This window comes from Homo sapiens, chromosome 20 (assembly GCF_000001405.40).
Source record: "Homo sapiens chromosome 20, GRCh38.p14 Primary Assembly".
Classification (NCBI taxonomy): Eukaryota; Metazoa; Chordata; class Mammalia; order Primates; family Hominidae; genus Homo; species Homo sapiens.
Window position 1 is genome coordinate 22,447,011 of NC_000020.11, and position 25,287 is coordinate 22,472,297.

General features: G+C 42.1%; 2 long non-coding RNA genes across 4 annotated transcripts, besides 1 other annotated feature; both read right to left on the minus strand.

The window, feature by feature from the left end:
- Nucleotides 1-2,631: 2,631 nt before the first annotated feature.
- On the minus strand, nucleotides 2,632-20,235 carry LOC105372562 (uncharacterized). Of its 2 annotated transcripts, none has more exons than XR_937337.3 (4): nucleotides 20,146-20,235; nucleotides 15,640-15,767; nucleotides 6,241-6,478; nucleotides 2,632-2,775 (listed from the first exon to the last, which is right to left on the minus strand). It is a non-coding gene; the product is annotated as an uncharacterized LOC105372562 (long non-coding RNA). The 2 variants fall into 2 exon arrangements; XR_937336.3 differs by having other exon boundaries at nucleotides 6,241-6,500.
- Nucleotides 8,993-9,807: an enhancer, noted in NCBI's record as "OCT4-NANOG hESC enhancer chr20:22436641-22437455 (GRCh37/hg19 assembly coordinates)". NCBI's record gives its function as "activates a minimal SCP1, AML or CMV promoter by ChIP-STARR-seq in naive H9 embryonic stem cells {active_cell/tissue: H9 hESC(naive)}" and the evidence as "EXISTENCE:reporter gene assay evidence [ECO:0000049][PMID:30033119]".
- Nucleotides 20,236-21,016: 781 nt separating the features above from the next.
- On the minus strand, nucleotides 21,017-24,528 carry LOC105372563 (uncharacterized). 2 transcript variants are annotated; one of them, XR_001754711.1, is made up of 3 exons: nucleotides 24,370-24,528; nucleotides 21,594-21,782; nucleotides 21,017-21,054 (listed from the first exon to the last, which is right to left on the minus strand). It is a non-coding gene; the product is annotated as an uncharacterized LOC105372563 (long non-coding RNA). The 2 variants fall into 2 exon arrangements; XR_937339.3 differs by lacking the exon at nucleotides 24,370-24,528 and adding an exon at nucleotides 23,999-24,353.
- Between the last annotated feature and the right edge of the window lie 759 nt (nucleotides 24,529-25,287).

Genomic DNA, 25,287 nt, shown 5'->3' on the forward strand with positions numbered 1-25,287 from the left:
GGGATGAAAATCCCAGCATTCTGGCCATCACATGTTGTGACTTGTGTAACAGCACAGATGGACATGAAGATGGTGAGCCTTGTAAGGCCCCTCCTCTCCCTCACATCTTAGCTGCAGGAATTTTAGTTTCATTATCCAGCACCAATGAGTATCCTTTCCCTCTTCGTATGCTAAGAACATTTATTCCATGATTGTCTGTTTCCACTCTAATTTGTATTCTGTCTACACAAAAAATTTGATGTTACAATGCTTAGCGACATACCACATAACTCAGAGTGAATTCTTTCACACAGTCCCAGAGAGAGAGGGTCGGCCAGATGCCAAAACATTGCTAGTGTGGTGGCTTTCCTTCCGACTGGAGGAGATGTTTAAATGGTGTTGTATCATTTCTTGAACTACATTTTTGCCTCTGTGCCTCCTGGGTATGAGAGGATTTATAGACCAACGTTTTTCCATGTTTTCTTCACATGGATTACTTTTTTTTTTTTTTTCTGTAGGACTCTCCAGCTCCTTAAATAGGCTGCTGTTCTTTTGATTCACTACTTGGAGTTAGAGGTTATAGCATTTCCCAAACCTGTTTTACTTGCTTTAACCCAGGATTTCCTGTGAGCAGTACCTATTTTTTTTCTGTAATACCTGACATATCTAGTGAAGCACACTTTTGCCAACATGAAATGAATAGCCATGTCTTTAATAAGCATGGCTAACTCAAAGAGAAGATCATAGTTTTTACACATTTTGCCTTCTAAAATGTAAGACTGATTCACTAATCAATTGATTCGTCAATAGAGAAACAGAAACAATCTCTTACAAAGTTATCACTGCAAGTTCGCTGATGCTCATGATTGAATCTATCTCCAGAAACAAAGGGAGAATAGAAAGCAGAATCATTTTCCAAATGGAGGAAATAGGTGAACAGAGCCCTCCAATATAGTCAAACTCACCTTCTTGTCACAATAATGAAGGCTGTGTTAGAAAAGGCAAGTTAATAAGAACACATATTAAAAAGAAATTATCCAGAATAACGCACTTTTGGAACAATCTCATCTAACTCCAACTTCAAAGAGGAGGGAACTGGAGATAAAAGCAAACAAAACTAGCAGATGGCACTCCTGTGACTAGCAACAAAGCACCTTAATTTCGAACTCAATGTTCTTCCAAGGAGAAAAATACAAAGATTATCCTCCTTGGTAGTTTAAGTAAAGCTGACATTGGTTTAAAAAACAAAAAAAGGCTTTGGTTTCAAGATAAAGCAGTGAATCTGGCTTTAAAGGCAGCCTAAAGGGTAAAGGAGGGGAATGAATGACTGTAAGGCCCATAAGATCCGGTCAGCAGTAAATGAAAGGGAGGGTGAGGCTACTTTAGTGGAAGCAAGAAGACTTAGGGGGATTGAATTGCACACAAGGCGGTGAATATCCCGAATGATGGCTAAGTCTTCATGATGCCACCAGACTTACAGATCATCCAGTAAGTCATTTTACTAACAACAATTTTGTAACTACTAAACTATTTAACCATGTGCCCTGTTTCTCATTTCTTCTCCAGTGTGTGAGTGAGTATATACTTAGTTTGGCAAAAGATTTATTTCCCAGCTGGAAGTAAATCAGGTCCATATTACACTCCAAAACCCAGTGTCATGTTGATTGTTTATGCCAATTTTGATCCAGGTGTTTCTCACTTGTTGATGTGGAGACAGTGGGAAAGTGCATGCTCCTTGTCACCATACAGAGCTGTAGTTGTAATTTTAGGGCTGCTTGCAATACTAGTGGTGAAAGTCAATAATTTTTGGATAAATATGATGACTGAGTCCAAGAAAGCTTAACTATGTATGATGGGAGATATGGTAAGATGTTTACACCTCCCAGACCATGTGTGTGAACCACCATAAATAGTAAAAGGAGAAGTCACAAAGAAATAAGGATTTGATTTAACTGTGGTGGATGTTTGCTTTGTTTTGAGTCAGAGTCACTGTTGCTCTGAGATCTGTAACAGTTCAGTGAGTGTCCCTCTCTTCCAACCTGCATCCCTTTACTTGAGTACTTTGTCTGGTGCTGACATCTGTTCTGTCCACAGGTGCTACAGGCTGAATGTCCTGAGGAATTAATGCTTCTGGGAGCAGCCTTTGACCAGTCCCTGAGAGAATTAGCAGATAGGCACATGAGCTCGTTCGCCCCTTGGTTGAGATAAATCTGAGGCACATGCTTGATGCTGGCTCCTAGAGGTCCCCAGCAGGTTTAAGCTCTGCATGCCCATGGTGGAAACTGGCCTCATGGCATAACCTTCCCAGACTGCCTTCCTCTCTCACTTCCCCAACCCCTGACTGCTGTTTCCTGGAATCACTCCCAAAATAAACAGCTTGTGCTTGAATCTTCGATTTGGGTCTGCTTTTAGGGAACCCACACAAGACAATATGACTTGACTCACATTTCTCTCCAGCTTGGCCCTGAGTAGGATTAGTAACGACAGGCAGGGATACATCATGGACACCAGGCCATTGTCCAGTGCTTGCTCTCTATGAGTCTTTCGAGTTCCAGTTGGGTGAGCGTGACCCACTTCTGCAGCCCTTCCAACTCAGCACACACGCTGCCAGGAGCAGAGAGCATCGGGGTAAACACGACATTTTCCTCATGCTCAGCAAGACAGGAAGTTTATTAAATCTGGTATAAATCTTTGTCTTTAAAGTGCCAGTTGGTGATTTATTTTCTCCTTCTGTTTAGATTTTTTAGAGCGTAGGTGCCAACCTCTGGAATCCAATCCAAAACCCCAAGCGAAGTCCTGTTGATAAATCAACAAAAGCCCTGTTTGCACAACGCAAGCCAAATGCAAATCCCTCATCCTTGAGAGTGAGTCTAATGATCATTTTTCAGTGTTATAAAAGGTGCCATATCAATGCATCTTACTAATTCTCACCTTGGCTTCTAAGAAACCTCCTCTGGCTGCCTTCCTTCAAAGAAAATCCACAGATAAATAAAACCTCTCAAGGAACACCATAGGTGGTAAACACATCTGAGGGGAAAGAAAATTGCTTCAGGATGCAGTTAGCGGGCATATTCCCCACTATCTCTCCCTTGTATTTGGGCAGCCAGTTCAACCGTGTGTGCTTCTTCATCTGCAAAAGGGTTTTAACATGGATCTGATGCAGGCTCTGAGAGCAATTTAAATAGCGTGGCTAAGACCTTGTTAACCTCTCCTTGTTATGAGCTGGGACTCAGGCATGTGGCCGAATCCATATAACCCTCTATTTCCTTACCCTAGGATGGTTGAAAGGATTAAATGCATTCACTTATTTGTTCCTTCACCCAAGAAATATATATTTGGCACCTACTCTGTGCCAGAAACAGACTGGGCTTGGGATACCCAGGTGAACCAAACAGTTGTGGCCAAAGGAAAGAAGGTTAGTGGCAGTGAGGCAGTGAAAACAAAGAGACGAAGACAAAAAACTGAGGCTGACAACGTCGGCATGAGCCAAACCATACCAGGCCTCAAAGGAGCTTGGTGTTTGTGCTAAGAACTATTGGAAACCACTAAAGGGCATGAAGCAAGAGAATGAGTGGCATGAGAAGAAATTAGGAGGCAAGTGGAGAATGGATGAGCTAAGTGCCAATAACAAGGTCACCAGACCAGTGTCTGGCACAGCACAAATGTTCAACAAATAGAAGTTCTTGCCGCTCCCCTTGCACCCATCCCCTCAGAAGCCAGAGTTATTATCCTGTCCTTAACCACCTCCTCTAAGGTAATATTACCTAGTAACTGTTAAGCTATTACCTGCCTCCATGATCCAATTATCCACTTGGGGGCAAAGATCATTTCTTCTTTGGGAGGAGGAAATTGGAAATTAAGTTTTATGATCTAAGGTAGAAAAGGCTTCTGTTTGACAAGAATCATTGTAAAATTATTGCACATTTCATATCAACGTGTGTAGCTAACTACTATACAAAAGAGGTTATGGGATTCTAGAAATGATATTTATGATCAAAGGCAGCTCAAATGGTTGGGCAAACGTGAAAGAGATATACACAGATATAATATAATCATGTGCCCTTAAAAACAAGTTGGCAGGTTGGCTCAGTCGATTTTTGGTAAATAGAGTAAGTATTTAAAATAACAAGGGCAGCTAATTAGGTATATATCCTATTCATGAAAATTTGCTATTATGTAAGACCTATGAGTTGTTGATCATAAGACTTTATTTTGAAAAACGTTGGAATATATATGTTTATAAAGATAAATGCATCTAAACAATTGTGTCTGGACAATGAGATTTCTTTTGTGCTGTTTAAAATACACAAAAGATGGACAGAGACAGACACAGAACTATGTCGCCATCAAAGAGTTTCAAAGAAACCAATGACTAGGTGTTAGTTAGATGCTTTCAAAAAACTAAAATCTAAGAACCACCAGATGGGTTTATTTTGCTACATTTAGATAAAGACAAACAAAGAAGTGACAAACCCATTACTGGATATAGATTTAATAATCTATCAAGAAGAGTGATTTTTAAATTGGAAATTTGAAGGAGAGATTCAAAAATCCAGAATTGGTGAAGGGCTAAGAAATTGTCCAACTTTACAATGGAAATGGAAAGATCTGGCAGATGAAATCTTAGGGTTTTACTTGATAAGTAAAAAGAGAAACCAATCATGAGAATTGTCAGAAGGCTAGGAAGAAGCAAATGTTGCCATATCGTTCAAAGAATTATTAGGCTACATTCTGGAAATGATGAGAAAATTTGTAGTTGATCCCTAAGAAAATTCAAGAATAAAATTTCAATCATATGACTTCAGAGCTCTTAGAAAGGAATGAGCATCAGGAGTCAAAATAAGTTCACAACAAACAAACCCTTCCACATAGTTGTTGATGTTGGTTTTCATTGTGTTACCAAAGAGGGGGGATCAGGATCAGGCAATAGATCCACTGGGTATATTTCTGGGAAACATGGACAACAACCAGGAAAAAGAGAATTGTTCCAGGTACCTCTAAATCAGAAACGTTTATTGCCAAAGTAAAATGAAGATGAATTCCTCGCTGTGTTCAGTCATGTTTGGTAATCCATCTGCTTTATATTCAGGTTTTTATTCTGGGTTTTCTTTGAGCATGGGTGGACAAATCTATGTATAAAGCATTTCCTGCAAATTAGGCCATGCACAGTAAAAAGTTAACTTGTGACTTTCTAGACAAATGCCATTTCATATCATTACTCCTATTGATATTTATGCTATCCTTTCTAGCATATGAACAATAAGTTACTATCATTTTCTAGACAAATTAAAGCTTTAGTGACTTGTAGAAAAGCGATTGGGTTTGGAATTCGCTAAGCGATAATCATTCCATCGCCCTAGACTAGTAATGCTGGGCGAATGAAGTTAAAACTCCATGATGAACATGGAGAAAAGCACCCATCCTTTTGGAAGAGTTTTAGCTTGGCAAGGAAACTGGCAAGTTTTGCTTTAATGTAGATAGTGGTACCTGCATTCTCAACCAGAGCTCCATTCCAACATGGCCCCGGAGAAGCTCTGTACAGCGGAGCCCTCACATCATCTGCACTATATGTACACTTGGTCAGGCTGTGTAAACTTTGACATGTGGGTGTCAATCTTTCTCATATTTGCAGATGGCTTTATCAGAGCGTGATTAGTTTCCAGAACAAATTTGAGCAAAAGAAAACATTACCTACAGTATGTAAGCCAACAGACCAGCTAGTTTTCAGATTTGTCTATTTACATGGGCACTAGATGTTTTGCTAAGGCTCTCTAACACTGATGGTAATTGAACAGTGCCAGTGTGTTAGTGGAAGCTGATGAGTTGTAAAGGTTTTATAAACAACTAGGGTGGATTTGGCCACAGCCTTTCTAGTAATGTTTGTTAATCTCCCTGAGCAAGTGTGCACCTAACACAATGTAAATACTCCAGAATTTGGAGGTGTCAATAGTGTAACTTTTACTGTTTGTAAAATCATTCTTTGATATCATCAGTAAGTTTACTGAATGTCCCATGGCCAAATATAATAAAACCTTAAGTAAGCGCTTACAGAGAAATAAGGGAAAACATGTGTTTTATTTTTACCCCGCTGCATGTTTGTTAAAGGATCACCGTAGACTGATAAATAGAGTCATGACTGTGCCTGTGTGTAGATTTCCATCTGGATTTCAGTTAAGGCTAGTTTTACTCTATGCTGAGGAGGAAAAGTATCTTTACAATTATTAGATGGCTAGTTTACCTATTTCACTGAGAAAGACTTACCTTAGAACTTTCAGGGAAAATCTTTACTGATCTCAAATTATCAGCAAATTCAAAATTTCTTTAAGATTAATTTCAAGTAGAATTGAGGGTGTGGGTGTAGCTGGTAAAATCTGTGTTCAGAAATTCTTGTGCACACACCTGTTTTTGGGTGTGGCTGTGCTTTCCAATGATGTCAAATCCCATTATTCCTCAGCTCCCTTGTTAACCGCTAGAGGGCGGATCCATTTCCAAGGGTTTCCTGGGCAAGAGGGAAAATCCTTCTGAACATCAAAAGAAAAATAGTTAAAAGTTTTCTGTTTTTTTTCTCTTTTTCCCTTTTTTTTTCTGTGAAGAGTCTCATCCCCACCCACCCCCTGCATTGTTGATGTCTGTGAAAACTTTGGGAATATGCAGTGTCCTAGTGCATCTGATAAGACTACAGCCCCGGAGGTTAACAAGCAGCCCCTCTGGCTGCAGTATTGATGCAGAGGAAATGAAATGGCGGTGACATTTTAAAGAGGAATTTGTGAACCACAGATATGAGCATGGCTAGCGCAGCATAGTGGCACATAAAATCAATACAAATAACCCGAACCTTAATACCTTGATCCAGGGAAGAGACTAGCTTTATCAGACGCCAGGCGGGGAGCGGCCGGTGGGCCACCTGCGCTGGGTGTGCTATTGACCTACTCTGGAGAGGCGTTAAGCCAACCACAATTAGGAGGATTTCTTTTTTAGAGATGCCTTTTGCTAGAGAGAATTTTCTGGGGAAATGTGTGTCATAATAAAAATAATCTTTGAAACACCTCCTTGCAGCAAACTTGATCATACCACATTGTCATTGTCAAAACTAAGACACTATATTTTTTCTCCAAATTTTACAAATTGTCTCTGCTTTATATACACACACACACATACACACACACACATATGTATCTGTGAAAATCGTCTGAAGATGTACTGCCTTCCCCTTCTATAGTTTCTAAAGGCTGAGAATAAAACTTCTATTTTGTGAGATTACAATTACTGCTCTTACTGTTCACTGCAAGAGGAAAAAGTCATTTTCTCTTCTTTGTAGCATGAAATTCTTATTGTGCATAACTAAGTTTATGCAGCTAGCTAAAAAATCAATGGGAGCTAAGACCTGGCATTATAAAAGGGTGGGACTCTATTGATTGCAATATTAAATTTTCCCTCTTTGCATAATTTCATTTAAAAAACAGGCTGAAAAAACCTGTGATCAATTTAATTTGGAAAATGTATTTTTGAAGAATATCCTTTCTGTTTTTTGTTTTACTTCTTCTTGAGATGTTATGACAAAGAGCGACTTCATTTTTCAAAACTATGAAAACCCTTAAGCACAGGTAACACTGTTTTAGATTTTATAAGATATGTGGGGTAAACTCAGGAAATAGAGGTTGGGGGGAGGCACAATCTTTCCCATGCACATCTTTTTGGCAATTTTCCTTGTGTGTAGCTCTTGTCAGGTTTTATTTGCAAAGAATTAGAAGGCCATGCAAACACAAGACCTATCAGAGTGTAGATTACTCCTGATGTTGGAGTGGAAAACCAAGTATCCTCTGAAATCAATCTCCTGTTTCCAGATAGATGTATGAGTAACCAAGTGTCCCCCTTGAATAAGAAGCACAGATTTGGCTGAACAGAAATAGGGCAATCTTTCAATAGTGGGAGACTAACTCTCACAAAACAGAAAAAATAGAAAGAATTTATTTTCTTTGTCATATTCAATGCTTGAATGGAAAGCAAGTACCTGCCTTCTCTAGGTCTGTGTGAAGAAGAGGACAAGATGGTGGATTTCTTTCCATTATTAATGATTGACTTTTCAAAAGAGTTACTTCTGTCTTTTAATTCTGTAGGATGAGGGTGTCTGTGCACAAGAGGTGTTTGTTGTGTAGCACTTTGTCTCGATGAACTGTGATGTCATGGAAAACCCAACAGCCTCTCCTGGTCCACACACAGGAGTGTGGCTTGGTCTTAGGGCCAAACACATCCCAGTCTTGGCCTGAATTTCGGTTTCTCCCTGCCCTCACCTGCCTTGGACAAGCCAGGTGCACGAGTCCTAATGCTGAAAGCTCTCAGGAGACAAAACCCCTCCGTTCCGAAAACTTCCAAGTCCTGTGCAAATGCACGTATGAACCCAGGGCTTGAGAAGGTGAAAGCCACAGTGGCGTGGAATTGCATGTGTGAGTGTGTGTACAGAGTAACTCTGTTTGTTTGTAGGTCCTTAGTAGAAGGGTGTCTAATGTTGACTTTTTGAGGCTAATATTGTTTGAATTTTCTATCCTGACTCTAAGCCACCTTACAGAGGGCTCTTTTTCCCATGCTGTTTGTACACTCATTACCTTTTAAAATGTCTTGAAGTAGTAAACAGTTCAACAGTTCTCCCTTCCATCCACCCATTGTCAAGAATAATGGGGGCCAGACTGCCAAGTGCAGCGTTAGATGTTGTCGCCTGCTGCTGGCCCTGGCCATAAATATTTGGAGCTTTGGGGCAATCATTCGTACACACTATGCAGTTCAACAAATCCTTCATGAAAACCCAGTCGGTTACCCTGAGAAAAATGTGTGGCCCAAGACATATTTATCGGGGTGGATTTCTAGTAATGTGATTGACACAAGGCTCTTGTTTTTTTGGTTGATAATTTGTTGTAAAGGAAGTAAGAGATGGTGTAACATACAGGCTTTCTCTGCATGTGTGTGAATGTGTATTTGCATGGGTGTTTCCTTTCACTTGAATTGAACTCCTAAAGACCACACTGTATTTTTCCTTAGTTTGAGCAACAGAGAGAGGGTTGTGACTTTCTTCTCAGGGTAGAAAGAAAATCATTTAATTTTAGCCACTTTATTCCTGGTCTTTGTGTATGAAGAAATGAATCCACATCTCTATTCCTTTGGCTTAGGACAGGGCACGGGGAGGTGGGGTATGCTTGGAAAAGGCCAGGGAACAGGGGGCGTATCCATCTGACTCCTTGACATTCTTCCAGGGAGAATCCTCCTTTGTTCCTTCAGGCAAGTGAGTTAGAGAAGGCTTGTAATTACTACATTGTCACGTTAAATTAAAAGCAATGCCCTCCTGGTGGCCTGTCAGCTTAAGAGGCATCCCTCTCTTTCAGGGCTCTGATGTGGCTCCTGCCAGGCCCTTATTGTGCTGGTGAAAAGGCCAAGTGAGTCTCAGCCTATTCCCATCCAGAGACATTCTGGAGTAGGATCCTGGTACATTTCTGCCTTAGGGTTGTGTGTGAGTCTGTGTGTGTATTTTAAGTTTGAAAGCAGACTGGCTTGGCTCTTATACAATCTCTACTCTGAAGTACATCTGGCAAAGACACCGTGGCTCTTTGGAGGCTGTTGATTCCACGGTGAATAGAACAGGGCCAGCATGCCCCGGGATGAGGCATGTCAAAGGAGCATCCAACCGCAGTCTCCAGGAGGAAGGTAGGAGCCAATGCCATCACTAGGGACCCAATGCCTTCTTTGAAAATTACCTTCCTTGTGGACTAACGTGTTTTCAGGAGAAAACCATTGCATTATAACTAAAGGCTGCATAGAGACCTTGTCAGCCTCAGCCTGAGATGACAGTATTCAGAGCATATCCTTACCTGGACAAGGACTTTGGGGTTCAGAACCTAGTTTTGAAAGAACTAACCTCAAATTCCCATCTTCAAATGTCTCTGAGCAAGAACTTGGACAAGTCGCTTGGGCCCCGTGAATCTCCTTGCAACCTACCAGAGACTATTTTCTATGTTATCTGTTGCAGCGACTGTCAATGAGCTTATATGAGTGAAGCGAATTCTAAATTGCCAAGTAAATAAAGATTTGGTATTTAGGAAAGAGAACAGGCTATCTAGTGTGTTACCTGTGTTTGGAAGGAGTTAAAAGGAAAATGCTTGATCAAGGCAAGAAACAAGGTTAAAAGTACTCAAGGCTTTTTTCCCAGAAGTTTTATCGAGTCTCATTAGGGAGTCTAACATAGAAGGGTCTCCCTCTAAGCAGACTAAACTGCTGGCATTTACTGCAGGTTATAAATAGAGAAGCAAATCTCTAAAACTAGTTTAGGGTCATGGAAAGGACTACTTTCAATCAATTCCTCATAAATAATATTAGGAACATAATTTCTAATAAGTTACTCTTGCACATTGGTTTCTCTGAGAAACAGACACTGAGATAGAATTGGGAGTGCAGAGTTTATTGGGGGATAACAGTGTTAAAGCAAAAGGGAGGAAGGAAAAAGTTGGAAGGGTCATTGGACCACAGTGCAGACCTGGCAAAGTCTGTGTCCACCACAATGGGAGCTCAGAGAAAAGGCGACCCCTTGGAAGAACCCCTCACTGGGCAGAAGTTGCAAGGATCTTGTACCACTGCTGTGCTCTGGCACTGGCCAGGGGCTGCCCTGTAAGAGCTCACAAGCTGAGATGTGTCTGGAGGCTGTGGGCTCATCTGAATCCTTGCAGCTGAACAGGGAACCCTCCCTTGAAGAGGAATTTGTCATACTGACAAACACTCCCCTCCTCATCCTCATCCCTTCCACCAATATTCAGAATGTTACCAGCAGAGACTCACCGAGATCAACACACTCTGTTGATCAATCCTGCTTAGGACTTGATCCACTATTACATTTTCACTGTAGGACGTGTAAAATGTACACAATAAAATATTTGTTAATAATCAGATCAGATGAATCTGGTAAACTCTTAAAAATTGTCATGATTCTTTCTTATGACATGAAAATTGTATAGTTGTAGAATGCAGAGTTTCCTTTGTGCACTGGCTGCCAGAAGTCTGAAAACTATGGGGAATTTTAGCCTGGGCTTTTGATAAGTATGATCCATGATGTCCTTTCTCTGCATGATTCTCAAACTCTTATTTAAACCTTTTATTTCTTATACTTTATGTTTAGTCTCCATAAATGCTTTTTGGAAATATAGAGAGATAAAATATAGACATGGATATGGATCTCTATTATTCCAGGAATCAGCCAGGGAATTGTGTTTCCACTTGAGCACCCATTCTGGCTCAGTCAGTTCTGCCTTTTGTTTTGCTTTTCCTGGTCCCCCCACTCCCTTACATAGCCTTTGTCAGGTGGTGTCTGCCTCCACATCCTCATCTTTATACCAACTCACTCTATGAAGCTTAATTCAAGTTGTGGGTCTATCAAAACACACAGAAAAAATGGCCAGGCCCAGTGGTTCATGTCCGTAATCCCAGCACTTTGGAGGCAAAGGATGGCAGATCACTTGAGCCCAGGAGTTGTTCGAGACCAGCCTGGGCCACATGGCAAGATCTCATCTCTACAACAAATACAAAAATTAGCAGGCATAGGAGCAAGCACCTTTAGTTCCAGCTACTTGAGAGGCTTCGGTGGGAGGACGGCTTGAGCCCGGGAGGTGGGGGTTGCAGTGAGCCAAGATTGTGCCACTGTACTCCAGCCTTGGGGACAGAGCCAGATCCTGTCTCAAAAAACAAAAATAAAAACAAGCACATACACAAGGAAAAACAAAACCCTCTTGGCATCCCCTGTCTGCAGTCTGTGACTTGCCATTGTGGCTCTCCTGCAGAGATGTTGCATCCTACTCCAGCCATGCCACATCACCACGCCCAAGCAATCCCGCAGGTAAGTCACAGAACTGCTCTGAATGCGAGTTTCTCATCTGTGGATTCGAGCTGAGCTTCCCTTCCTCTCGGTGTGGCTCTGAATGAAGCAGGAGCATGTGCAGAGCACTGTGTACCTGGGTGACCCTTCATGCCTCACGTCCCATCTTGAGACATCCACAGTAACTGTGGGCCACATGACAGTATAAAGCACCTATCCAAAGTCTCCTGGGTGTTTCTAGAGGTCAGGCACAGGTAAGTGTTGTTTTCTATCTATGAGCTTCTTGTAAGATGACCAATGAGGTTTTTCCCCACATTTCCTGCATCTCCATTAGTCTTGGCAGTGCTATTAAGCGTCTAATAAGTTACTGCTTTTAATGATGACTAAACTCCAAAGGGGTTGTCATTTTATCACAATCTTTGGGTGGAGTAGAGGGGAAGGCATGCTGCTCCTAGTCCTCATGAGTCCACCCCACTTAGCTGTTTTAAAGAAAACAAAAGGCCAGGCACAGTGGTTCTCGCCTGTAATCCTGGCACTTTGGTAGGCTGAGACGGGAGGATTACTTGCTGACAGGAGTTTGAGACCAGCCTGCACAGTGGAGCGAGACCCTGTCTCTACAAAAGATAAAAGTAAAAAAATTAGCCAGGTGTGGTGGCGCACACCTGTGATCCCAGCTATTCAGGAGGCTGAGGCAAGAGGATCCCTTGAGCCCACGATCTCAAGGCTGCAGTGATCTCACAACTGCACTCCAGCCTGGGCAACAGCATGAGACTCTGTCTTAAAAAACAAATAAATAAATAAATAATAAAGAAAAAAACAGAATTAGCAGATGTCAATGTTATCTCTTGCTTTTTTTTTTTTTTTTTAATTTGCTTAACCTGCAGACCAATACTTTGGCAGTCTCAGTGTTTCTCAGGATGGCACAAAACCCCACATAAAATACACAGAGCAGCCACTTGCTGAGCCCACAGCCTGAGGCAAACAGGGTTGCCCTGACCTGCACTGCCAGCCTTAGGCCACTTCTGGGGTTCTGTTGGGGTGGGCAGGACAGACATGCAGGTGGAGGGAAGGAGCCATGGTAAGGTAAATCCCAGGGCTTGGATAATGTGGGCTTCTCAGCAAATCAACCATGTCACATGACACAGGTAGTAATGATATTTGATTAAGCATAGGAAGTATGGTGAGTGTAGCTCATTTTTGATATTCTGATGTCATTATTTCAAGTATTAGTTGTGATTTTATGGGTCCTAAGAATTTAACAACAACAAAAAGCAAGCTTTGGCAAAAGTGTTGTGCCATATTTTACACTAACTTTTCAACAAATAACACATACTATATTGCTCTTCACCTCTTAAAAGCAAAATTAAAACCAGTATAGCCTGGCTGTTTGAGGACCCTTCTTTTCCATGCAACTTAATGTCCCTGGAGCTAGGTGACTGGGAAGCATTCCCTGTCCTCTTTTCATGGCAGAGATGATAGAGGAGTGCAAGATAGTGTACTGGCTCCCTACCCACCAGAGAGAGACTCAGCCATCTGTACTACTAGCTTCGCTGAGTGGCAAACACCTGAACTGGAGGACTTGCTTCTAAAGAGGAAATGCTCACCTTTATATTCAGCAAATAGGTATGCATACCTCAAGAGGCCTTGCTGGAAGATTTCATCACAATTTGTGGATGGTAACAAAGAGAAATCCCCAACTCACTGGTCCTCACTTTTCCCTCTACCCTCCCTGCATCCTTCTGACCCAGCCAAAACATTTCCTCTGAAAAGTTACATGCCTGTTCCAAAGACAGATCCTGTTGCTCCTTGAAGTATTCCAAGCCAGGCTTGCACCCCAGGGAGTGACAAACAGACCCACTGGGGCATGGGAAGAAAATATTAAATCCTAAATTTATAAGTATTTTTATCTCACTATGTAAAAAATAACGTTTGTGTGTTTCATAATATTCATGATATAATAATATACTTGTATGTATAAAATAAATACATGTACCTATGTTACGGTACATGCTCCTCTTGAAACTTATATAGAGTACTTAACAAAAACCACTGGAGATAACCACCTTGCAGAAGACCTCCTCCAGATACAAATTTCCATTACTCACTCACGCACATACTCAGGTATTCTGAAATTTGAACTTTGGAAAGAGGCAAATAGTACTGCTGCTCTGCAAAGTACAAGGTAATCTGAAATTGCCAGCTTGATGTAATCAAGGCTGACTTTCACTTGGCTTTGTGTGCATTTGAGTTTCTCCCTACTTCTGCTTTACCTGCACAAATAACACCAGTCTGGATGCAATAGGGATATTGGCTTCACTATCAAGGAATGTGTCTCACTTTTAATTGAATATCTTATTCAGGAATGTACACCATATGCTCTGTTGCCTACCAGCTGAACTGAAGAAATCACAACAAAATCTAATGTCAATTGTCTTATAGCCTCTTGAGCACAGGTCAAATCACATTACAATTGGTCGTCCACATTTAGGGGTTCTGCAACCACGGATTCAACTAATCTCCGATCAAAAGTATTCACCATCCCCCATAAAAGTTAATTGCAGCTCTACTGAATATGTACGGACTTCTTTCTTATCATTATTGCCTAAACAATACAACTATTTAAATACCATTTACATTGTATTAGATATTATAAACAAGCTAGAAATAATTTAAAGTATACAGGAGGATGGACATAGGTTATATGCAAATACTATGTCATTTTCTATCAGGGGCTTGAGCATCTATGAATTTTTGTGTCCAAGGTGGGTCCTAGAACCAATGCCCCGTGGATACCGAGGGACGAATGTAAATCTTCATCTCATACTCCAGGGAAATTCAAAATCCTCCTGACATTTTCATTGATTACTAAAGGGATTATATTCTCAAAGGAAACTATGTCTCCAGGCTCCAACTTCTATTTGTTTCCAAATTTCATCCCAATATTGTGGCACGTCTCCTTTGTCTGTGCCCATATTTTGTAACCCACTGACACAAAGCACTTGGTAATGAATTAGACTTCAGTAACTATTTGGGCTTCATACAGAGGAGTCACACTGTGCCCAACACCAAGCACTTTAAAAGGTTATGTGAGCTGCTCTTCATCTGGTATCATGATTCCCATGGCTGGGTACCTCATGCAGCCAGCTTTCTGCTATCTTATTAGTTCATTTCTTCTCCTCTTGCATATCAACCTGGAAATCTGACTTATCCTATTACAACAAGAAATCCAATAGCTTCCAGCTCTAAACTTGCATACACCTTCAAGTTTGTCAGACCAGAACTGGCAGAATTTCCATCTTATCCAGTGAGTCTAATAGAAGGCAGTTGTGGAATACATGATGATTTTTCCTCTGATGTGGGCAGAGGACAGAGGCAATCACAGTACTTGACTTAAAAACTCTTCATGCTTTCAGACCCACCTCAGATACCAAAAATTCGTAGATAAAATATGCCCCATTCTACACCACCACCAAGCTGAGTTAGACAACATACAAATTCAGGAGTGGAGGGGAGTTGTTTTAAAAAACAATTTGATATTTGATATTTGATAGTGTTTAAAGACACCATGGATGCTTCCTGGTCCTGTGGAGTGGAGCTGGACACCTGGGTCTTATTATACAAGGGACTCTGGATTTGGAAACCCCCACTCCTGCACTGCCAGGGCCAATGGAAGCCCAGTGGAGTGTACGACCACATTATGCATGTGAGCAGCAGGGCAGGGGATGAAGTAGTCTCTGCTGATGTCCATGCAATCCACCCCACCCTTCTGCTCTCCCCATACAGGTCTCCTTCCCACGCCACTTTCTCTTTACCTCTGAAGCTGGCCTGTCCTTCCATGCCCTCCTCCGGTTTCCCATCCACCTTTAACACACAGCTTAGGGCAGTTTCTTCTGCAAATCCACCATACTGATGGCTGTTTGTAGTCCCCAGTAGACATTCTCTACAGGAGTCAAACGAGAATTCACAAGAAAGGATGTAAAGCTATGCTTTGAAATGAGAGTGAAGCACCATTCTCTGACATGCTTACAGCAGGTTTCTTCTCAATGGCAGATTTATGGGGGATTTTATTGATTCTATTTTCATCCATCTGTATTTTCTACAAGAAAAGATTTTTGCAAGAACAATATTTTTCTTAACAGAAAAGAAAATGAAACAGTAAGTTATCTTAAAAGTGAGGGCATGCTCTGTGCAGGATCTAGATTTTATGCAAAAAAAACCCCTAAAAAATAAAAAATAAAAATAAAGCAAGAGTGCTTGCAGAGGTTCCAGGACAGGCTTCCCGCATGCACAAGCTGGAGGCATGCTGACCTGCTTTTCAGCCGGCATAGGGTGTTTAAAAATTGAATGAGTCATCAGCATTTAGAAATCAAGATACTTGGCACATATATCGGGCACCTCCTGTGAAATCTGTCCACCCAGCCCACACCAATTCAACTCCCAAGTCCCAGGCCTGGGTCCACCTCAATGAGCTTGGGGTGCTCTGTCCACAGGACACGGTCTCCACTACTCCCCACTGTGCTGTCTATACTGTCACCTGGAGTTGGAAGCATTTTGTTATCTAACTGTGGGTATCAGGCACCAACTTCCTCCTTTGCCTCCTTAGGACAAGGACCACATGGCCCCTGTGAGATGTTCTCCGTGGGAAGCATGAAGTTCACAGTGCACCTGCTAGGTTTGGCGGCCTGCAAGCGGCCAGAGGCTGTTTGCTGGGAGGAGCTCACTCATGCCAGTGAGAGATGAACTGAGGGAAATGAGTTTTACCAGATCCTGGAAGAGAAAGGAGCAGGGCCCGGTGGGTGGGCCCACTCATTTCAATAAGAATCCAACGTCTCAGTGCTTATCAAAAGCAAACCAAGCCTGCAGGCCCTTTTCAGGTTTATGGATCTCCAGTCCACATCCAGGACCTTTCCTCAGGATTAAATGAAACTTAAACCTGCTAAATAAACACAGGCACAAAATAATCATTGAGAGTCATTCACTGAGCATCAATCATCGCAGCCAGAGTGTTTCTCGTCTTGACAGCTTACTGTAGGGAGGGATCCCTGAGTGCTCAGGAACAAAGGTGAGGGGAGGGAGGAGAATATAGCAACAGAGAGGAAGATCTTTATACAGCAAGCTCAGGAAGAAAATTAAATGAAGAAATACAGTTATCAACAGAAAGAGAAATCCAAAATTGGGTGAGAGGTTTTTGTGGTAGAGGTTACAATGGGCTCTTCTTTCTCCTTTTAATCCAAAGTAATAAAATGCTCCATTTTACTGAGTTCTCTCTGTGGCAAATACTGTGCTGAACACTTCATTCATTTATTTATTATTCATTCATCTACTTATTCACTTACTCCTGTGTCCATTCATTCATTCGTTCAGCAATGTATCTCAGGTGCTGGCAATGCAATGAACAAGGCAAGGGCCCTGCTAAATGAAGGAGACACATGAATATATGATTTTAGAGAGTAATGCATGATATAGAGAAAATAAAACCCAGGAAGGGGAGGGAGGCTGGGAGTAAGAAGTTCTCCTAAGTCAGCAGCTCAGAGGAGGCCACCCCAAGGAGCAGGCTCTGGAACTGAGACCTAAAAGCAGATGCCATTATCAAAGGCCCCTGGGCAGGATGCTGCAGAGAAAAGAAGGGCAAGTGCAAAGGCCCTGCTGTGGACCTGGTTTGGCAGAGCTGAAAGCAGGCAGGAGGACCACATGCTGACCTGCACGTGGAGTTCTGCCTATGTGAATCTGGCAAGCAGCAGCATCTGGTGGTCAGGGATGCCAAATTGGGCTGACCCAATCTGAACCCAGGGTACTGCTGCATTCCAGACCCAAAGAAGCTGCTTTTCTTAAGCCAAGTCCCTGTGGCTCCTAGAAATCCTATCAGTTTTTCCATGGATTTGACAGATATACATATTCACACACACATGCACACACGCACACACACACATGCACAGACACACACACACATATATGGAGACAGATTCAAATGTACTGAAGGGGAGATGCTGAAGAACCTGAGTTCTCACCTGAACTCAGTCACAGATTATTCCCCAGGGGCCTAAGCAAACTTGGAATGGAGAAACCACCTCCCAGGAGACAACAGAACAGCGCCCAGCTCTGCAAGGCAGGTTTCGTTCCACTCTCCGCTTTTGCCCTCCTGACTCAGTGTCCAAGCTCTCTAAGCCCATGGTCTCCAGGCTGCCTCTTCTACCAGGAATGGCTGTGGTACTTGTCCCCTAACTCCCTGCAGGAGATGCTGTGCGTGTCCTGGGAGAGCAAGTGGCTATTCCTGTGTGTGCTTATGTGACACTGTCCAATTCCAAGCACCTTTAAGACTCTCATCTTCAGAGCTCAGGGCTACTCTTGAGGCAGGGCTGAGAATAATCTCCATTAGCCACTGATAGGAGCTGATGGATAAACACCCCACCTCCTTCTCCTCTGGCAGATGTCTTGGAGGCATGCCATGCCTACTGGGGACTCTCCGAGAGGTCCCCATTAGCACTGAGCCCAGTTTTCCACAGTGGTAACCCGATGATGACAAACCCTTCATGGCTGCCTCCTCTTCCTTTCCTGTGTCACTTCCCCACCCTCCCTGGTGCATCCTGGGACTACCTCCCACATAAACTTCTGGTCCTTGTTTCAGAGTTTCCTTTCAGGGACACTAAACCCAAAGCGCTGCCTAAGGTGCTAACTGACAATCAATCTTCAGGACTCAGCTTAGAAGTCACCTCTTCCTGCACACTTTCTTTGATCTCCTTTCACCAACACCAATGTTTGGATCAGGAGTCTTTTCTGCAGGCTCTCTTACCACACAGAAGGTGACCAGTGTTGTTCATTAACAAATGACGTGTCCCTCGGTAACAATCAAATGCAGGGAGTGAGATGTGAAGCCACCATGCGGTCCCCACACAGCTTTCTACAGAAGCATCTCTCCAGATCCAATCTGCCCTGGCCTCACCTCTGATTAGGACTGGGTCCCCTTTGGAGGTCACACTGATTGATTAGTGCTCTCTGGGGACAGTTCTATTGACAATGTGGCTCTTCTCAGAAAAGCACAGCAAAAACAACCTTTCAGATTGAGGCCAGCTTCCATTGCTCAATGTTAGATATTTTTCCTGGAAATATCTGTTGGAGAAGGGATATTAACTACCAATAAAAGTCATTTCTCAAACCACAGTGGACACATGGACCCAAGCACACAATGGACTGTGAACTCCAACCTTTGAAAGTCAAGCCTCTGCTTCAGCATTTGGCCCTGTCCATGATGAAATTATTTCCTTTCCCCCAGGAACTTGAACTGGTAAAGTGACCTCCATGTTTAACGTATCCAGGCAAAAAAGGCACTAAGTCTCTATAATTCAAAGATCAAAAGTACCTAAAATAGATCTTCATTGGTTTGAACTTGAAGGAATTTTACCTCCAAACTCAGATTAATTTCTTGGCCTGAACCCAAAGTAAATGGGCTTGTCTTCTTTGCATTTTAAGGTAAATGTCTCTTGCATATCTGCAATAGTTCAGGGTAGCAAATAGCTGATAAGCCACTGAGAGGTTCATTAGTCATTTTCAGAAGGTGGCTCCAGCAGGAGGTCCATGGGCTGAGCAGTGCAGGCAAGCACACCGGAACTGAAGCTACCTGAACAGAGAGTGTGTTTCCCAGAAACAAACTGGAACAAGAAAAAAATACTCCACAGTGAAAGGTGAAGCATGGTTTCTGGGATCTTTGGAAAAAGAAAGATTCCTTGAAAGCCATATGGCTCAGGACCATTGGAAAAAGCGCTTTGAGGGCTTGGCTAAAGGTGGAAGGGGCTGAGATTCTAGGTGGACAGCAAACTGGAAAAGCCATTGGCCAAACCCCTCGATGAGCAGTGACTCCCTGAGCTTCTCATGCAGATGCAGAGGTGAAATCAAGCCAAGAGGGCCCTGATGGTGACATGCTTCACTTGTGTTCTCTGGCACATAGATGCATGAAATGGGGCACCAGTGCTGGGTTTGGGATAGCTGGGCTGCTTATGAATATTTTTTCCTTTAGCTTCTTTGTGCTGCTTCACACAAACCTCAATAGTGGGGCTGGTAGTTGAGTGCAAAGCCCCGGTGGACACACACATCTACACACAGCCACAAAGGTTACGAAACAATAGTCCACAGACAGGAAGGAGAGGAACTGTAAATAAAGGGAATGGGAATATGGTACGTTTCCCCATTGTGTGAAGCAGGGTCGGGGCAAAAGCTGGAGACTGTTGTAAAAAAGAGTCCTGGGCAGGTGCTCAGAGGACAGCTGTCTCGCACAAAGAAACCTCTTATTAAAGCCACTGTGTTCACTGTATAATTGTATTTACCTGTAGTGTCTTCTGGGCATTACTCATTTGCTTCATTATTGCCCAGCTGAACATTTTATTTTCCATGATGGGGAGTTGATTCTTCCCTCTGTCCCTGCTGAGCATCGATATGTTCTTTCAGAATTGGGAGGTATCAGGCCAAAGGTGCAGTTACCAGGTTGGGTTCTAGAAGACTTTGCCCTGACATTGTATAAATTATTCAGTAAATGAGGCGACAAGGCCATTGAAGCTTGGGCTCTTTCCTGTCTGACTCCCCATCTCATTCTAGTCAATAGCACACCTAGCAGAATTCACGTTTGGAATGGCCTTTGCTTCTGACAGGGAGAGAGCCAGCAAAACTGTTGGTAGAGGGGATCTTCGGGTTTCATGGCACCTACCCCTTAAAAACATTTAGGGGAATGTGTAGGGGAGAGAGATCTAGATCTGGGAGGCTTCTGGAAATGTCGGGTGGGAGTTCTGGAAGGGCTGTGCTGTGCCCGCTGAGGCCCATGTTCGGCACTCTGATACAGAAAAGATGATTCTCTTTTAAATAATCACAATGGAATAAACCCTTTATTTAATAAGAACATTTTACAAGCATAGAAATATGACATGTTTTCTGGAAGTCCCATTGCAATTCACCTCCAAGAAACTATCACTTGGCTGGTTGCAGTGGCTCATGCCTGTAAGTAATCCCAGAACTTTGGGAGGCCAAGGCAGGCGGATCACTTGAGGCCAAGAGTTCAAGACCAGCTTGATCAACACGATGAAACCCCATCTCTACTAAAAAATACAAAAATTAGCTGAGCGTGGGGTTGCATACCTGTAATCCCAGCTACTTGGAAGGCTGAGGCAGGAGAATCGCTTGAACCCGGGAGGTGGATCTGAGATCGTGCCATTGTACTCCAGCCTGGGCAACAGAGTGAGATTCTGTCTCAGGAAAAAAAAAAAAAAAAAAGGAAAAAAAAAAAAAGAAACTATCACTTACTGGGGTTTGGTATGGCATCAAAAAAGAATATCCACAGCTGATTTGAAAACACTATTTAAAAATTTCCTTTTTCAACAACAATCAGTATAGTTTTCTTCCTATACTTCAACCACAATAATATAATACAAACAGATGAACTCGGAAGCAGATACGAAAATCTGGTTGTCTTTTTAAGCGTGAAATTAAAGAGATCTGCAAAAATGTAAAAAACATCACTCTTCTCCAGAATTGTTTTTGTTTTGAAAAATAGTTATTTTTATTTAAAAACATGTTATTCATGTTAGCATTTAACTGGTTGATTATTATTTCAAGATTAATAAATGCATATTTTTATATTTCCTCAATTTTGATTTCTAATATGGTAAATATAAATAGATTTTGCCCACATACGTAAAAGCTCTCTGGGGACTTCAGTAATTTTTAAGAACGTAAAAAGCCTCAAGACCAAAGAATTTGAGGACTCCGAAATTCAAGTACTCACCCAACTTAGCTTTAGAGTGAAGGGTGGAACCTTTGGCCTACCAAGATCTATTTGTCAGTTCCAATCAGAGAAATGTCAAAATCTTGAAGGATATATTTAAGGAGTCCAGAAAGGTTTTCCATACCAGCCTATCAGTAAAGCTCAGAGCTTAGTTCCTTCCTGAAATCTTGTCCACCGGCTCAGCCAAGTCTGCAGAGTGGGGTGAAAGCTTAGTCTTAATAAACATTCATCTAAGCAGCCCCTTCTCTTTTTAAGCAAGGGGCTTCTGAGATTAGGTGTTCGCATCAGAAAGGGGCGGGCACATGTGACACCCTGAGGACATCTGTCTCATACAAGGTTTCTCTAATACTCACAAGCAAATGAGAGCTGCCCAAAGGAGCAGACAGAAAGCAAGTCAAACAGCCCCTAGCCCTGCTCTGCAGGAATAGTGCAGAACTGATCCATGGCAGGATCTGCAGCTTGGATGCTATCTTTCAATTTCCCCCAGGGTGGGTCAGTTGGAGCTGGAGGATGTGCTGGCGAGATGCCCCACCCATCGCACCGTCAGGCCCTGCGAGGAGGAGCACTCCATCTGTTTGCTCATTGAGGAAGACTAGGGTGGGATGTATTACAACCACCACTCCTACTGATTCTCAAATTGGAAGACCAGAGCTTGCAACACATCTATCATCTCCAAGACCTGTTGCTGTTGCTTCCTAGAGTAAGAGAAAGTTTCCTAGATACAGTTTTCTATGTCTAATTCAGACAAAGGGCAGAGGCCCTGAGAGGCCTCCAACTGCAGAAGACATGCTTAAACTTGGAAATTCCAGGCCGTTAATAATCACAACCTGAAAACACAGCATTGTCAGCGGTGGCTGTTGGAGTTGGTCAACTTCGCTAAGAGGCATTCAGTTTCTCAACTCGGTAATGCTAAGAAGCTACTTCCCTTAGGCAATCTTGCTGATTTTGGTGAATCTTACAACACTCATTTGGAAAATTGCTAAAAATGACTATGTTGAATAGAAGATGGCACTCGCCTTCCCTTGTGATTTCTACAGAATATCCTGAAATTGCTTTTGCGTCAGATAATACACATCTTTATTTATAGTGCTGTGCTGCTTTAAATCGCAACCAAAGCCTGCATAATACTTACCTACATAATATTTTATTACATTTTAGGTTTGCATGTTTAGAAAGCATTTAAATTTTATGAAAAACAATACAGATAGTTTCCTGATTGTAAGGAAAATAGAAAAATGATAAAAAGCCATCTTTATCTTTCATGAGAAGACACCAAGCCTGGGTATGTGTTCAGTTATATCTCCTAGAGTTACCATGATGCTTCACCATCACACCTTTTAAAACAAATTAGTCATGCATTTATTTATTTGTTCAACAAAATTCAAAGTATCTTCTAAGCAATGGAGTTGAAGAACTTGAAAGAATATTGTAAAATGTAAATCATGAAAAATATGACAGAAGAAAATCAGTCACTTTATAAATACAAGTTGGCATTATGTAACTATTTTTATTTAATGTGTTTAACTTTTACAGATGATGTTTTTTAGAAAAAGATTTAGTAATTTGCTCAAAGTCACACTTAATTTTTTCAAGCATCAGAAACCAAACAAAACAAAAAGAAAGAAACATGCCTCCCTCAGTTTTGGTCCAAAAATAGGTATTTCATAAATATTTGTTCCTTTTTTTCTCTGAATTCAGATCCTGGTCGTCTTTCCCTAAATTTCCTTTTTTCTTTTGTCGTGGTTATATAGAATTGAATATTTATAATGAAATAGACCTGCTGACTGGGTCACAGTGATAAAAGATGCTGAATGCTTCTGGTTCCAAGTAGTTGCAGTTGATGAATGAATCCCAGGTCCTAGCAACTGTGCTTAAAGGGATACACCTGCTTACAGGTGGTTAAGGGGAGATCTATTTCTATACATGGGACTGCCATAAATCAGAAGGAGATCAAAACATTTAAAGCCAACCAAGCAGGCAACATTTTTTGAGTAATTGAGGCTTGTTTTAGAAAACAAAAAATGTCTGTGTTAGTCCTTGTCTGTCAAACATTATTCTCTGTTTGATTAAGCTATACAAACAGCAGGACTCTGATGTAAGCAAGATTTTTTCTTTTTGTATGCTGTACATAAATGTCTTTAATCTTTTGAGTTAGGAATTTATTGGTGGAGTCTTCATGAGTAAATCCAGCAAATCTCTGAAATAATTTTCCCTCCAAAAGGAAATAGAGCAGGGAGGAGGCAGAGAAGGGTCAGTGAAACTCAACCCAAAAACAAAACAAAACACATTTTCCTGGAACAACAAAGTAGGTAAGAGTCCAGCTGACTTTTAGCCAGCTTAAGTCTGGGGTCTGGGTGAATGTGCCTTGGGTCAGGTGACGATAAAGGGACTTCAGACCAACTTACCAGCTGCAAATGAAAGTTCTTTCTTGGGATTTCAACAATAAACCAAACAAACCCACAGCACCATCCCCAAGTCTGCTATTCCAACTCCAGGAAAAGATTCCACACAGAAGGTCTGCAGAAGACAGTTGGACCTGGAATGGTTCTTCTTATTTTAACAAAAAGAGTGAAATGTGGATGCTTAAAATACACAAAAGGTTTGAATCTTGACTCCTGTGAGTCTTGACATTTGCATTTTATTCTGGGAATTTTCAAAGGATAACTGTGAGTCGTTAATCAAAGGACTTTTAGACATTGGGTGCATTTGTTTGCCATGGCTGTGTAACAAATTCTACAAACTGGGTGGGTTAAAGCACGAAAATTTTATGTCTCACAGTTTCAGAGGCTGAAGTCTGAGATGTAGGTGTTGCAGGGTGGGTTCCTTCTAAGAACCCACTCCATGCCTCCCCCCAGCTTCTGGTGTTTTGCTGGCAATCTCGGACTTTCCTGGGCTTGTAGACCCATCAGCCCGGCCTCTGCCCACGGTTGCACATGGCGTCCTCCCTGCATGTTGTCACCTTGGAGTGGGCCTACCCTATTCCATTATGACATCATCTTAAGTAAACACATCTGCAACGACATAAGGTCCTCTTTCCACATAAGGTCACATTCTGAGGTACCAGGGTTATGCCTTCAACATTTAGAAGTGGAGTGGGGCACAGTTCAGCCCACAACCATGGGTGTGGTAGTGTGTTTGTATGTGTGCGCAGCCACCCTCACCCTTTCTCCACCCCGCCTCCTCAGAGATGCCACACCCACTTCTCAGACTCCACTCTTCTCTCCCAGGAAGCCTGCTAGCACCCAGCCCGCCCCACCCCACAGACAAACACACACACCAGATACACACCACACACACACATCTCCACCACAGCACACCCGTGCACACATGCATCACACTACACACACATCACTAATACTACACACACAACCTGCACAACACATGCACACCACACTACCACATACATACCATACACACCACCACACACACATACACCACCACACACATACCATATACACCACCACACACACCACCACACACATGCAGAAACACATACCAAGCTCCCTTCTATGTGTTTTCGTAGTGTTTTAATTATAGCTCTATTGTAAGTCACCAAATTAAACGTTTATTATAGTTATTTATATTTCCTGCCAACTTCTTCTAATTTGGTCATTTAAGCAGCTGCTATGTCTGGTTAATTTTTGTTTCCCACAAACAAATCGGTGTCACATGCACAGTAGTCTCAATGAACATT